This window comes from Homo sapiens, chromosome 14, assembly GCF_000001405.40.
Source record: "Homo sapiens chromosome 14, GRCh38.p14 Primary Assembly".
Classification (NCBI taxonomy): domain Eukaryota; kingdom Metazoa; phylum Chordata; class Mammalia; order Primates; family Hominidae; genus Homo; species Homo sapiens.
Window position 1 is genome coordinate 92,789,654 of NC_000014.9, and position 13,897 is coordinate 92,803,550.

General features: G+C 41.8%; 1 protein-coding gene across 3 annotated transcripts in view, besides 5 other annotated features; it reads left to right on the forward strand.

Annotated features, from left to right (window-relative positions):
• Nucleotides 4,333–4,480: a silencer, noted in NCBI's record as "fragment chr14:93260331-93260478 (GRCh37/hg19 assembly coordinates)". NCBI's record gives its function as "represses an EF-1alpha promoter that drives an FKBP-Casp9 reporter gene in an ReSE screen in K562 erythroleukemia cells {active_cell/tissue: K562}" and the evidence as "EXISTENCE:reporter gene assay evidence [ECO:0000049][PMID:32094911]".
• Nucleotides 4,503–5,047: an enhancer, noted in NCBI's record as "NANOG-H3K27ac-H3K4me1 hESC enhancer chr14:93260501-93261045 (GRCh37/hg19 assembly coordinates)". NCBI's record gives its function as "activates a minimal SCP1, AML or CMV promoter by ChIP-STARR-seq in primed H9 embryonic stem cells {active_cell/tissue: H9 hESC(primed)}" and the evidence as "EXISTENCE:reporter gene assay evidence [ECO:0000049][PMID:30033119]".
• Nucleotides 4,516–4,705: an enhancer, noted in NCBI's record as "active region_8945". NCBI's record gives its function as "activates an Ori minimal core promoter by ATAC-STARR-seq in GM12878 lymphoblastoid cells {active_cell/tissue: GM12878}" and the evidence as "EXISTENCE:reporter gene assay evidence [ECO:0000049][PMID:35858748]".
• Nucleotides 4,652–13,897, forward strand: part of GOLGA5 (golgin A5) — a 45,643-nt gene continuing 36,397 nt past the window's right edge. For 2 of the 3 annotated variants that reach the window (NM_005113.4, XM_011537420.4), the window contains exons 1-2: nucleotides 4,652–4,803; nucleotides 7,755–8,328. In NM_005113.4, the coding sequence (NP_005104.4) occupies nucleotides 7,785–8,328 (544 nt within the window). In that variant the 5' untranslated portion in view covers nucleotides 4,652–4,803; nucleotides 7,755–7,784. Of the gene's footprint in view, nucleotides 5,341–7,754; nucleotides 8,329–13,897 lie in introns of all 3 variants that reach the window. The other variant, XM_047432021.1, reaches the window with a different exon arrangement.
• Nucleotides 4,776–4,845: a silencer, noted in NCBI's record as "silent region_6040". NCBI's record gives its function as "represses an Ori minimal core promoter by ATAC-STARR-seq in GM12878 lymphoblastoid cells {active_cell/tissue: GM12878}" and the evidence as "EXISTENCE:reporter gene assay evidence [ECO:0000049][PMID:35858748]".
• Nucleotides 5,048–5,591: an enhancer, noted in NCBI's record as "NANOG-H3K27ac-H3K4me1 hESC enhancer chr14:93261046-93261589 (GRCh37/hg19 assembly coordinates)". NCBI's record gives its function as "activates a minimal SCP1, AML or CMV promoter by ChIP-STARR-seq in primed H9 embryonic stem cells {active_cell/tissue: H9 hESC(primed)}" and the evidence as "EXISTENCE:reporter gene assay evidence [ECO:0000049][PMID:30033119]".

The following is a 13,897-nucleotide window of genomic DNA, read 5'->3' on the forward strand; positions in this document are numbered from 1 at the left end:
TCTTTGATGAGTCATTTTCCTCTTACAGCTTTTAAGATTTTCTTTGTCTTTCAACAGCTTGACTGTTATGTGCCAGGTTGAATGTCCTTGTGTTTGTCCTATTTGAAGATCATTGAGCTTCCTAGATGTACAGATTAATGTTTTCATCAAACTTGGAAAGTTTTTGGCTATTTTTTTTCCTCAAATATCCCCCCTCCTCCCAATCCTTCTCTCCTTCTGAAATTCCCATTACATACATGTTGGTATATCTGATGATGTCACACAGATCTTTGAGAATCACCTCATTTTTTATTCTTTTTTCTTTATACTGATTGGACAAATTCTATTGATCTGTCTTCAAGTTTTCTAATTGTCTCTTCAGCCCACTCAAATTTGCATTGAACTCCTCTAGTGAAATTTTTTATTTTTTACTTATTGTACTTTTATTCTAGAATTCCATTGCTTTTTAAAATAATCCCTATCTCTTTACTGATATTCCCTATTTTATGAAGCATTGTTGTAATTTTTTTGTTTTTGTTTTTGGTTTGTTTGAGCCTGGGTCTCACTATGTTCCCTAAGCTGGTCTCAAACTCCTGAGCTCAAGCAATCCTTCTGCCTTGGCCTCCCAAAGTGCTGGGATTACAGGTGTGAGCTGCCACAGCTGGCTGCCATATTTTCACTTAGTTCTTTGGACATATTTTTTTTCTTTTTTTTTTTAAATAGAGTAGATGTGCTGTGTGAGACTTGATCTCATGGTTGAGTAACTTCCTTGAAGTCCTTATATGCTAAGTCCAACATCTCACAACATTTATACTGATTTTCACCTCTGTGTATGGTCAATTTTTCTGTTCATTTGCATGTCTGCTTTTTTTTAATTGAAAACTGGACAATTTAGATAATATAGTGTAGCAACTCCTGTGTTTTGGTGTGCCCCTCAGAGGGTGTTTTTTGTTGTTTTTCTTAGTTTATACATTTGTTGTGTGACTTGCCTGGACTAATTCTGCAGAGTTTCTCTTCCATAGTGTGTTGACATTGATGTTTCTGCTCAGTTTTATTTTTTTCTCTTTTACGTTTATTTCTAAGGTTGGTTTTCTAAGGTTTTCACCAAGGTCAATATAGCTTAGAATTTAGTCAATGATTGATCAGATGTGGTAATTAGACACCTCAAGCCAGTAAGACTTCTACCCTTTCTTGATGGACCTGTGTCATCTAAATGGGTTGAAGAACATTCAAAATTCAGGCAATTTACAAGACTGCTCTGACTTTTGTTTTGCTGGGTTTTCTTGTGTCTCCTCTGCATCTCTGCAAGGCTTCTCTGGCTTTTGTTTTCCTGTGTCTCCTCTGCCTCTGTGCAAGGCTTCATGTTCCGCCAGGGTTGAGTAGATGACTGGGGCTTTTGCCAGACTCTCCTGAACTGACACAGCCTTCCAGACCATAAGCGCATCGCCAAAGCCCACTATGGCTATCTGATTCCCTGGATCTCACTGCTAAACTTCCAGCAGGCTTTCTAATCAGCTGTTTGCTCAACCAGTCTTGCAGCCCAGGTAATTGTGATGTTGGCATTCCCAATCAACCTTTCTCCTTGGCCATGGGGTTTTGCTGGCACCACTCCTTACCAAGTCAGCCCCCTCTGGCAGCAAAGCTGCTGGTTTTCACATTTACGCAGCCCTGACAGAACTATTCCCATGGAACTGGAGGAGAGGGATTGGGAATTTCCCCATGGTAACGTGTCACAGACTCTCACTGTTGTTACCCAAGGTTTAATAGTTTTTCTTGAATAAATGCATTTTAATTTATGTTATACCTGTGGTGGATTTCCAGGAATTTGAAATGGTTGTTTTTTACAATTGTGTCCAATTTCATCATTGTTTTTTGGGGAAGAGAATTTGCTGAATTCCTTACTCTGCCATTCCAGAAGTCACAATATAGCCCCATTTGTTTAAAACTTCATCCTTAAGCTCTATTCAAAGTTCTTTCCCCTGATCTCTGGAGCAGACTAGCTTGGTTGCCCTACAGCTCTAGAGACTTCCTTCTTCCCCTTTCTTTTCTAGGCTTTAGCTCCACTGGTGGCATTAGGGCAGGGAGGAGGTGGGAAGAAAAGAGCAAATTTTCTGACCCATTGGGCAAGGTTGTAGCCTCTCTCTGTTGTGCTGTTTCTCTGGCTAATCCACCCTGGCCCCAATAATGTATGCATGGCAGGCATCTATATGCTGACCTCTTAGGGGGTATATGTGGGAATTCTTGAAATACTCTTTTTTGGGGCCTGCCCATTGCCATTTTTTGGAATATCTGAATTAAGTCTAAAATCCACATTCAATAATTCAAATACTCAGGACCCACTATGTGCACAGGATCAGGCCAATTTGGCCCTAATGACAAGCCTACAACATGGCCCCTAGTCTTCATCTTCAAGTTGAGGAAAGTAAGACTCAAACAGGTTAAGGGCTGGGCACAGTGGCTCATGCCTGTAACCTCAGCACTTTGGGTGGCTGATCAGGCAGATTACTTGAGGTCAGGAGTTTGAGACTAGCCTGGCCAACATGGTGAAACCCCGTCTCTAGTAAAAATACAAAAAATTAGCCAGGCATCATGGCACACGCCTCTAGTCCCAGCTACTCAGGGGGATGAGGCAGGAGAAACACTTGAACCTGGAAGGCAGAGGTTGCAGTGAGCCGAGATCGCGCCACTGCACTCTAGGATGGGCGACAGAGCAAGACTCCATTTCAAAAAACCAACCAAACAAACAAACAAAAAAAACCCAAAAAAATAGGTTAAGTAATTTGTCTAAGATCATCAGTCCTAACAAGGAGTCCACATTACTCCGAAGCCTGTGCCCTTAGACTCAAAGTTTTGTCTCCAGATTAAATATTGGGAGTAATTACAGCTCCTGCTTTTCTTCCTCTCAGGTCAGGTTTCGTCCAATACAGTGGAAGACTGGTTCCTCCTCAACTTATTTCATTCTCATCCCTTCGACAATTAAAACACTGTTTCTAGAGTCACACTGTCCCAAGTTTGAATCCCAGTTGTTCTACTTTTGCTTCTATGTGGCCATGGGCAAGTAACTAAACCTCACTGAATCTCAGTGTCTTCATCTGTAAAATGGTTTAATATATTAATAGTAGTATGATTTTATTAGGTAGGGCTGTGTAAAAAACAATCCTAAATCTCAGTGACTTATAACAGCAAAAGTTTATATGTCACTCATGTGACATCTCAAATGTGAGCTGCTTCACATCCCCTTTTTCTTCCAGGACCAAGGCTGAAAGAGCAGCCCCATCTGACACAGACTATTCTCATGAAAGGAAAAATTTCTCTGGTTGAAATACGTAATAACTGTTAATACTACTGCTCAGAAAGACCCCCTGCCAAAAGAAGATCATACAATCAAGCCTGACATCAGTGAGGCTGGAAAGAATGCTCCTCCTACAGGATGCACTGCAGTCGCATGGCAACGGGCGATGATGTGTAATCCTTAACTGGAAAAGCAACTTAATAGTTAGGAACAACAATACCACCTACCAGAGAATAATAGTACCTTCCTTATGCATGTGAGATTAAAATGAAGTGAGGCACATGCAATGCTTAACACAGTATTCTACACTTAATAAAAGGTTTGATAAATGTTAGATGCCATTATTATGATTACCACCTCCTGGTGCTGCTGAAAATTTTTCTCTTCACCGTACTGGGCTAAACCTCACCTGAGAGCAATAAAAGCAGGAGCTGTAATTACTTCCAATATTTAATTTGGAGACAATAAAGCTTTGAGTCTACGAGGAATAGGCTTTGGAGTAATGTGGACTCCTTATTAGGACAGATGATCTTAGACAAGTTATTTAAACTGTTTGAACCTTACTTTCCTCAATTCAAAGATTTGAGACTTGGAACTGTGTTGTAGGCTTGTCATTAGGGCCAAGTTAGCCCAATCCTGTACACATAGTGGGTGCTGAGTATTTGAATTAGTGAATGTGGATTTTAGACTTATTTCAGATAGTCAATGAACTGTATGCATAACATAACCACAATACTGCCTTTTCCATCCTTTGGGTCTCAGCTCAAATATCATCTTCTCAGAGAGACCTTCCCTGACCACCTGATTTAAAGTACCTCCCGTGCCTCCAGTCACTTTTCCCCGTTTTCTTGTCGTTACAACTCTGGTAACGCCCTGAAATTGTCTTGTCCATTCACTGTTACGTAATATCTGTCTCTGCCACTAGAAAGTAAGCGCCATGCAATCCGGATCATGTTTTCTTATTTCCACCTTCTGCCGTGGACCTCTGGCATTCTCGTCTGTAAAACTTAGGGGAGATGGTGAGGAAAGGGAGAAACACGAGGTCTAGCCGGTCCACCCGGGTCTCAAGCCCCGCCCAACTCAGGCCTCGCGTTCCTTCCAGGCTGGGCACCGCCTTTGGTCACCCACGTGGCCCGCAGTAAGGCCCCGCCCTTTGTGGGTGTGGCCTTTCACGGCGTGCGGGCCGTCCACCGGCGGCGAGCCACGTCACACGCACGCAGGCCATGCGCCGCGCCTGTTCTCGCCGCGGGCGGAAAAGGGGCGTGGCCATGCGCGAGGACCCCGTAGCCGCCAGCGCCACCGCCTGAGTCGCCTGCAGGTGGCTGTTCGCGTCTCCCTGCCGTGCAGGCAGCTCGAAAGCCACTCTGTTGTGGGGTCCTCGCTTCCCTTCCACGTCTCCCGGAAGCGGTAGCAGGGCCCCGGCGGGTCGGGGAGGAGGTTTACTCAGCTTGGGCCCCCTCCGGGCCAGCCGCCGAGGGGGCGCGGCCCAGGACGGCGGCTAGGCCGTAGTGCAGCCTCTCCGGAGTCCTCAGGTGAGGCGGAGGCGAGGGCCCACTGGACGAGACGGGGGTGTTAACGGTCCTAGGAGCGGGGGCGCAGTCCCTTCAGTGGAGACCCTGGTCTCTCCGTTTTCTTTCGGGTCGCGCTCATCTTCGCCCTGTTAGGGGCTGAGGAGGGTAACTGGAGAGACTCCTTGGGCTTCAGCCGACGTCGTTTACTGCCCTCCTCTGTCTTCCTTTCTCCTGACCCCTGCCTGGCCTGGCCGTTCTTCCCGCACGGAACGAGATGGGTGGGGAGCAGAGTGGGGGTCTCTGCTCGCTTACCTGAGATTCCCCAAACTGACAGACCCCAGGGCTCTACGGACTGGGCCTGACCGACTGACCTCCAGCCTCCCTCCCTCTGTGCTGACGCCTGGCCTTCGAAGCAGGCCCTGCCGCAGCCCTTTGCAGACCCATCCCCATCCCACGCACTCTCTGCCCCTGGGCAGTGTCTGGGGAATTGACGGGTGCCTCTGAAGTCCTTCGTGTCTTTGAGATGTTTGCCCAGGGCCCATCTAAGTATTTAATTAGGTAATCGACATTAATTGCAACATTAGTAGCAGTTGCATGGTATGTTTTAAAGCCCAATTAATTTTGAAATGGGAGGCAAGATATAAAGAATTAATGAGCGTGTTTTGATTTTTTATTACTTTTTTTGTAGAGACAGGGTCTTGCCATGTTGCCCAGGCTGGTCTCAAACTCCTGGCCTCAAGTGGTCCTCCCCGCTCGGCCTCCCAGTGTGTTGGGATTACAGGCGTGAGCCACAGTGCCTGGCCTGTATGGTGTTCTGTATGTTACAGAGCATTTCATCTCCATTTTCATTTGATTTTTTATAAACTCCGAAATACATAGGCATTTAATAGTCACATGTGTAAAGAACAGATTTAAAGGATGAGTTTCTTCTTGAGGTTTTTTAGATTTTGAGCTGTATGGTATAGGGAGGCAAGGGTTAAAAGTAGGTTTGGCACTAGGGTAACTTAGACTTGAGTATCTGAGCTGCTGTCTAAACTCTGGGATCTTTCTAAACCCTTTCCACATTTGCTTTAAAAAAAGGATATTGCTGTTTACCACATAACGTGGCTGTGAAAATTACATGTGATAAAAGATACATGTGTACCTGTGTACAGCATCAGTCATATAAAAATTCCACTCAGCAGTATTTGTGAGTGCCTACTGTGTGCTAGACTCTGGGAATTCATTGGTGAGCAAAACAGACATAATCTTTATCCAGCCACTGCCCCACTTTCCCCAAGAACAAGAAGCATGTTAAAAAAATACGTAATTATAAAACATGAAGGACTGTGAAGCAAAAGAATAGGGTATGTACAGATAATGATTGACCTAACTTAGCTGGAAAGGAGAACTCTGAAGCAAATGACATTTGAGTGAAGACCAAGAACAAGAAAGTTAACCATGAAAGAGTTCTTGGCAAAAGGAACAACGTGCACATTCTAGAAATGGTTGTGGACTTTATTATAGAGCCCTTCTGTATCTATATCTTCATCATTACTTTGATGTATTGTGGCACACAATAAGTACTCAAATATATGTATGGAATGAGTGGTTATGCAATTTTGGTTTTTATTCTGGACTTAGCTTAATGTGCACATGGTAGGTATTGAGTATGTGAATTATTGAACATGTACTTTAGATAAATTATGTGCACACCTAAATTATATGTAATAGTGCTGCAGTTTAACATTAAGATAGCTTTTGTATTTAACGGAAACGTTTTTTCAAGTTTTAGCACTTTAAAACAAACTTCAGTGAATTTTATTTTTATTTGGTTGTACTGGAGTTTTGCCATATTGGTTATTTGCTGTTTGGATGTTGTTTTAATTTGCTGCTGTAGCAAAGTACCACAGATTGATTGGCTGGGCCAACAGAAATTTATTTTCTCTCAGTTCTGAAGACTTGAAGTCCAAGATCAAGGTATTGGCAGAGTTGGTTTCTTCTGAGGCGTACTTCTTTTGCTTGCAGATGTCTGCCTTCTCCCTCTGTCCTTTCTGTATGCCTGTTTGTGTTGAAATTTCCTCCTCTTAGAAGGACATGCCAATTATATTTGATTAGGGGCCACCCTGACGACTCATTTTAATTATCCTTTTAGAGATCCTATCTCCAAAAACAGTCACATTCTGAGGTCTGGGGGTTAGGACTTAAATAAAGGAATTTGGAGGGATGCAGTTCAGCCCATAACAGATGCTTTTGCTACATTAAGATTTGCCCGGCCGGGCGCGGTGGCTCACGCCTGTAATCCCCGCACTTTGGGAGGCCGAGGCGGGTGGATCATGAGGTCAGGAGATCGAGACCATCCCGGCTAACAAGGTGAAACCCCGTCTCTACTAGAAATACAAAAAATTAGCCGGGCGCGGTGGCGGGTGCCTGTAGTCCCAGCTACTCGGGAGGCTGAGGCAGGAGAGTGGCGTGAACCCGGGAAGCGGAGCTTGCAGTGAGCCGAGATTGCGCCACTGCAGTCCGCAGTCCGGCCTGGGCGACAGAGCGAGACTCCGTCTCAAAAAAAAAAAAAAAAAAAAAAGATTTGCCCTTCTTTGAAATAGTAATAATAAAAACAGTAATTTATTATTACTTTGAAATAGTAATAATAAATAATAAAAATAGAAATAATAATAAAAACAGTAGTGGTAGTTGTAATAATGGTAATAGCAGCCACTAAAATGAGTGCTTATTATGTGCCAAGCATTTTGCAAAGTGTTTTTTATATATTATTTCATCATAAAACCATCCTATAAGGTAAGTACACTTTCCCCCCCATTTTCTAGATAAGATTTCTCAGCCTCATTTAAGTAGTTTTCTCAAGGTTACCTAGCTAGTAAAAGGTAGGGTTAGGATTTCAACCCAGGATTGCCTGACTCCAGAGTCTGGTCTTAACCATTTATCATACTCTGCCACTATGCCACACTGATCATTTTATGTCCTTTTTACAGGTTTGCCAATAGGATTATCCTGCTGCCATCATGTCTTGGTTTGTTGATCTTGCTGGAAAGGCAGAAGATCTTTTAAACCGAGTTGATCAAGGGGCTGCAACAGCTCTCAGTAGGAAAGACAATGCCAGCAACATATATAGCAAAAATACTGACTATACTGAACTTCACCAGCAAAATACAGATTTGATATATCAGACTGGACCTAAATCTACGTATATTTCATCAGCAGCTGATAACATTCGAAATCAAAAAGCCACCATCTTAGCTGGCACTGCAAATGTGAAAGTAGGATCTCGGACACCAGTAGAGGCCTCTCATCCTGTTGAAAATGCATCTGTTCCTAGGCCTTCATCCCATTTTGTGCGAAGAAAAAAGTCAGAACCTGATGATGAGCTGCTGTTTGATTTTCTTAATAGTTCACAGAAGGAGCCTACCGGGAGGGTGGAAATCAGAAAGGAAAAAGGCAAGACACCTGTCTTTCAGAGCTCTCAGACATCAAGTGTCAGTTCTGTGAACCCCAGTGTAACCACCATCAAAACCATTGAAGAAAATTCTTTTGGGAGCCAAACCCACGGTAGTTAATCAGTCCTCTTATTTCTTTTAGAGTTAAGCAAATTGAATGTGTCATCATATGATCCGATGGTGTTTCTCATCTACTGTTATGGAATCTGTCTCCACTGGTGTAAGGGCAGACTCTCTGCAAATGTGTGGTGTAAACAAGGGAGACATCATTGACTACTATTAGTCAATAGACAGTTGTAGCAGGGACTTCATGTTGTCTGGAGGGCAACTTCACCCACTCAGCATCTAACAAAGTATTTCAAATTTGTTTCTCTAAGACATTTTAAGATTAAAAAAAGAAAATTTTGAAATCTGAAAGAAAACATGTCAGTTTGGATCGGGGACTATCCCAGTTGATATCTTTTTGTTACTAGGATTATAAAAATGACAGGAGGCTGTACTTCACGTATTTTCTGGGTTGTGTTTTTTGTGTGTTTTTCCCCCCACATCCTCCACAAATAAAGCTGAGAGACTGAACTTTGATCCAAGTTGAAGAGTTGAAGGCATTGACCTAGTAGTGAAGCAAGAGCTTAGAACTCTTGTTTTCAATTGTTTAATTCCCTCTGAGATTACCTCTACAAGTACACCTTCTTTCTTGTGAAATGAGATTAACGTGGTAAATGTGGCTAATTCAAGTACCTACTAACTGTTTTAAAATAGCTATAGGCTGGGCGTGGTGGCTTACACCTGTAATCCGAGCACTTTGGAACGCTGAGGCAGGCAGAGCACTCGTGCCCAGGAGTTTGAGACCAGCCTAAACAACATAGCAAAACTTTGTCTCTACAAAAAATACAAAAATTAGCCAGGCACAGTGGTGCATGCCTGTAGTCTCAGCTACTTGGGAGGCTGAGGCGGGAGAATTGATTGAGCTCAGGAGGTCGAGGTTGCAGTGAGCCGAGATTGTACCACTACACTCCAGCCTGGGCCGTAGAATGAGACGCTGTCTCCAAAGATAAAAATAGAAAAAAGGCAAAAAACTTGATAGTAGGTTCTTGCAGGGATTCTTTTGTTGTTTTGAGACAGGGTCTTGCTCTATCGCCGAGGCTTAAGTGCCGTGATGCTATCACAGCTCGCACTACCTTTGACCTCCCCAGGCTCAAGCGATCCTCCTGCCTCAGCCTCCTGAGTAGCTGGAACTATAGGTGCACACCACTGTGCCCAGCTAATTTTAAAAAATTATTTTTAATAGAAACAGTGTCTCACTGTGTTGCTCTGGCTGGTCTTGAGCTCAAGTGATCCTCCTACTTTGACCTCCCACAGCATTGGGATTATGGGCATGATCTACCGTGGCCTGGCCATAGGGATTTTTTTTTTTTTTTCTTTTTTGAGACGGAGTCTCACTCTGTCACCCAGGCTGGAGTGCAGTGGCCTGATCTTGGCTCACTGCAAGCTCCACCTCCTGGGTTCATGCCATTCTCCTGCCTCAGCCTCCCAAGTAGCTGGGACTACAGGCGCCTGCCATCACGCCTGGCTAATTTTTTTTTTTTTTTTGTATTTTTAGTAGAGACAGGGTTTCACTGTTAGCCAGGAGGCTCTTGATCTCCTGACCTTGTGATCCGCCCGCCTCGGCCTCCCAAAGTGCTGGGATTACAGGCGTGAGCCACTGTGCCTGGCCTTTTTTAATGTTTTTATTTATTTATTTATTTATTTTTTTGTGAGACGGAGTCTCGCTTTGTCGCCCAGGCTGGAGTGCAGTGACGCGATCTTAGCTCACTGCAACCTCCACCTCCTGGGTTCAAGCGATTCTCCATTTCAGCCTCCCGAGTAGCTGGGACTATAGGTGTGCACCACCACCCTTGGCTAATTTTTGTATTTTTTGGTAGAGATAGGGTTTCATCACGTTGGCCAGGCTGGTCTTGAACTCCGGACCTCAAGTCATCTGCCCACCTTGGCCTCCCAAAGTGCTGAGATTACAGGCGTGAGCCACCACACCTGGCCAGGGATTCTTTATAGAGTTGATTATTGATGGGAGATTGTCATGTTCTTGGATGTTATAGCTTCTTTCATTGTCTTGGCTGTTAGTGAATAAAATCTTTCTTGTATTTTCAAGACAAAAACTTGTATAGAAGAAGACGTTTTGGGTTGTGAAAATAGGATCAGGCAGTAGCAGTTGATTAATATGTTCACATATTCCAAAATTTCTTCTCAGCTATCTTTCAATTAATTACACAAAGAACCTACTAGGTGCAAGGATATGGAAGTGTCCAGTGGGTGAGCTAGACATGTAAACAGATAATTTACTTGTGGTCTAGTAAATGTAGCAATTAAGTATGGTCAGAGTGTTGTGGAAGTATGAAGGAGGAAGTAACTAATTGCCTAGGGTATTCAGAAAGGATTCACAGAGGGTCTGTATTTTTAGCTGGGTCTTAAAGAATGAACAGGAGTTTGCCAGGTAAAAAGTTAGAGACAGCATTCCATGCAGAGAGAACAGACTCTAAGAGGCTAGTAGAGTAGAAAACATTGTAACAAAGTTGGAAACACTGAGTGAGTTGGAGGGTGATGAAGAAAATGTAGCTAGCAAACAAAGTTGGGACCTGTTTGTGAAGGCCCTTGTGTCATACTGTTTATGCAATTAAACCCATTACTTCTATAATCATTGTTAAAGATTGATTCCTGAACAACAGGCTTTAGAATCGCTTGTGTGTTGTTAATTTAAAAATGAATTATTGAGTGCCTTCCCAGGCTTCCTGAATCGTTATTTTCTGGGGATGGAGCCAGGGCATCTGATTTTGTTGTTGTTGTTCTGTGGGTGGTTCTTAGCCAATAAAAGTTGAAAGTGGCTGCCATAGCCAGTGTGATGCTAGTAGAGATCTTTAAGTCAAGAGTTGACATAGCTTATTTTTGTACTTTTAAAGAAAGCAGCTTGCATTTAATTAGAAAGAATGGACCTAAAGGGAACCTCGTTGTCAGGGAAATGAATTAGAACTGGTTATAATACACAGGAGTTATAAAAATTGTTTCTCTTGGGTAGGACCTCTCAACCTTGAGACTTGGTGTTTTGGGCCAAATTAATTCAATAGTGTGGGAAGCCCTCCTGTTCTTTGTAGGATGTTTAGCAGCATCTCTGGCCTCTTAGCCCATTAGGTGGTAGTAGCACCCCCAATTGTGACAACCAACAATGTCTCCACAAATTGCCAAATGTCCCTTGCAGGGCAAAATCATCCCAGTTGAGAACCAATGTCCTGAGATGCCTAGAAATGTGTAGAAATGGGATTGCTGAGCTGTAGGGTTTAACAATGTTCAGCTACACTAGTAATGCCAAAGTGGCTTTCTGCAGAGGTTGTGCCAATTTATACTCTAACCAGCTATGGTTAAGAACTTCTTTTGCTCCACATTTTCACCAACATTTTTTATTTTCAATTTGACTTTTTACTTTTTGCTGATCAGATTTGTCGTTGATATTATTTCCTTCATTACTAGTGTGGTTGAAGATCTTTTCAGATATTTGACTATTGAACTTTCATTTTCTGGAAGTGTCAAGTCTTTTTTATCAACTTTTTTCTGTTAGATTATTTGTCTTTTTTCTTCTTGATTCATAGACATTCTTTATATATTCTAAATTCTAAATTCTTTTCCTCCTCCAGTTTTACCTTGGTTTTTCCCCTCCCCTCTGTCTATGGCATCTCAATGAATAGAAGTTCTTAATGTAGATGGCATGTGGCTTGTGTTTTTTGTGTCTTGGAAAATCTTTCCTTACACTGAGATCATAAAGATATTTTTCTGTATTGTCTTCTATAGTGTGCGATAGGCATTCAATTCCCTTTTTCTTTTTTTTTTTTTTGCCATAGGGAAATCAGCTATTCTAGCATCATTTATTGAACAGAGTCTCTTGTCCCTACCAATTTGCAGTACCACCTGTCTTATATATCAAGTATTCATTAGTGTGTTTCTGGCCACTTAATTCTGTTTTATTGGTTTATTTGTGTATCCTTGTGCCAGTGCCACCCTGTTTTAATTAATGTAGTTTTATGTGTCTTGATAACTGATAGGGTAGCTTCTTCCACCTTGTGGTCTTTCTTCAGAAATGTTTTGGCTGTTCATGGACCTTTCCACTCCTGTATGCATTTTAGGATTTGCTCATCAAGTTTCACAGAAACTCTGTTGGTCTTTTTATTGGGAATTAATTGCTTCTATATAGACAGTTTGGTGAGAGTCAGCACTTTTGCTATACTGAGTTTTCTTATCCACCAATGGGATATAATTTCAACATATTTTGTAGTGTCTTTCATTAAAATTTTATTGTTTTCTCCATAAAGATCTTATATACTTTATGTTAGATTTATTCCTAAGTAGTTTATATTTTTTGAAACAATTATATGTGGTATTCCTTAAAATGTTTTGCTTTGTTATTGCTGGTGTATTTTTTGTTGTTTTTTTGTGTGTACATACATAGCAATCTAGATGGCTCTTAATCTTCATGTTTTTCTGGACATAAATTTAGATTTTCAACAACACAATTATCTGTGTATAATGACAGTTTGTTTCTTCTTAGCCCTTTTATCTTTTAAAAAATCCTTTTCTTCATTGGCTAGGACTCAACGACCAGTTTTGTATCTTGTTCTTTGTCTTAGAGGGAATACTTTGTTTCACTAAGTATGATTTTACATTAGGTTTTTTATAGTTTTTTTATTTGTTTAAGGAAGTTCCCATAAATGTCTAGTTTGAGGTTTTATCATGTTGAATTTTAGCAATGTTTTTTCCTCTACCCTTGGAGATAATATAGTTTTTCTTCTTTAATATTAATATAGTATACAAATCAATTTATTTATTTTTAATAAATCAATTTATTTATTTATTTTTAATAGAGATGGGATCTTGCTGTGTTACCCAGGCTGGAATGTAGCGGCTATTCACATGTATGATCATAGTGCACTGCAGCCCCAAACTCCTGGCTCAAGTAATCCTCCCACTTCCTCCTCCCAACTCACTGGGATGCAGGTGCACACCACTGCACCTAGCTCCAGCTCCAGTTGATACTTTTAAATATAAAACCAAACTTAACTTTCAGTTTGCTAATATTCCCTTTAGGATTTTTGCATTTATTTAGTTAATTTAATTTTTATTTATTATTATTTTTATTATTTTGAGACAGGATCTCACTCTGTCGCCCAGGTTGGAGTGCAGTGGTGGGATCTCAGCTCACTGCAGCCTCAATCTCCCAGGCTCAAGCAATCCTCCCACCTCAGCCTCAATAGTAACTGAGACTGCAGGCACACACCGCCATGCGTAGGTAATTTTGTTCATTTTTTGTAGAGACAAGGTCTCACTATATTGCCAGGCTAGTCTTGAACTCCTGAGCTGAAGGGATCCTCCTGTGTTGGCCTCCCAAGTGCTAGGATTACAGGCATGAGCCACCACACCTAACCTTTTGCATTTATTTTATAAGCGAAATCGGCCTGCGATATTGTTAGGTTTTAGTATTACAGTTATATTAGCCTTATCAAATGAATTGGAAAGTATTCCTTCTTTTTCTGTTGTGTTAATTAATTGGTGTAAGACTGAGATTATTTATTTCCTGAACGTTTGCTAGAACTCTGTGCTAAAACCATCAGGACCTGGGGTATTCTTACTGAAAGGTTTTA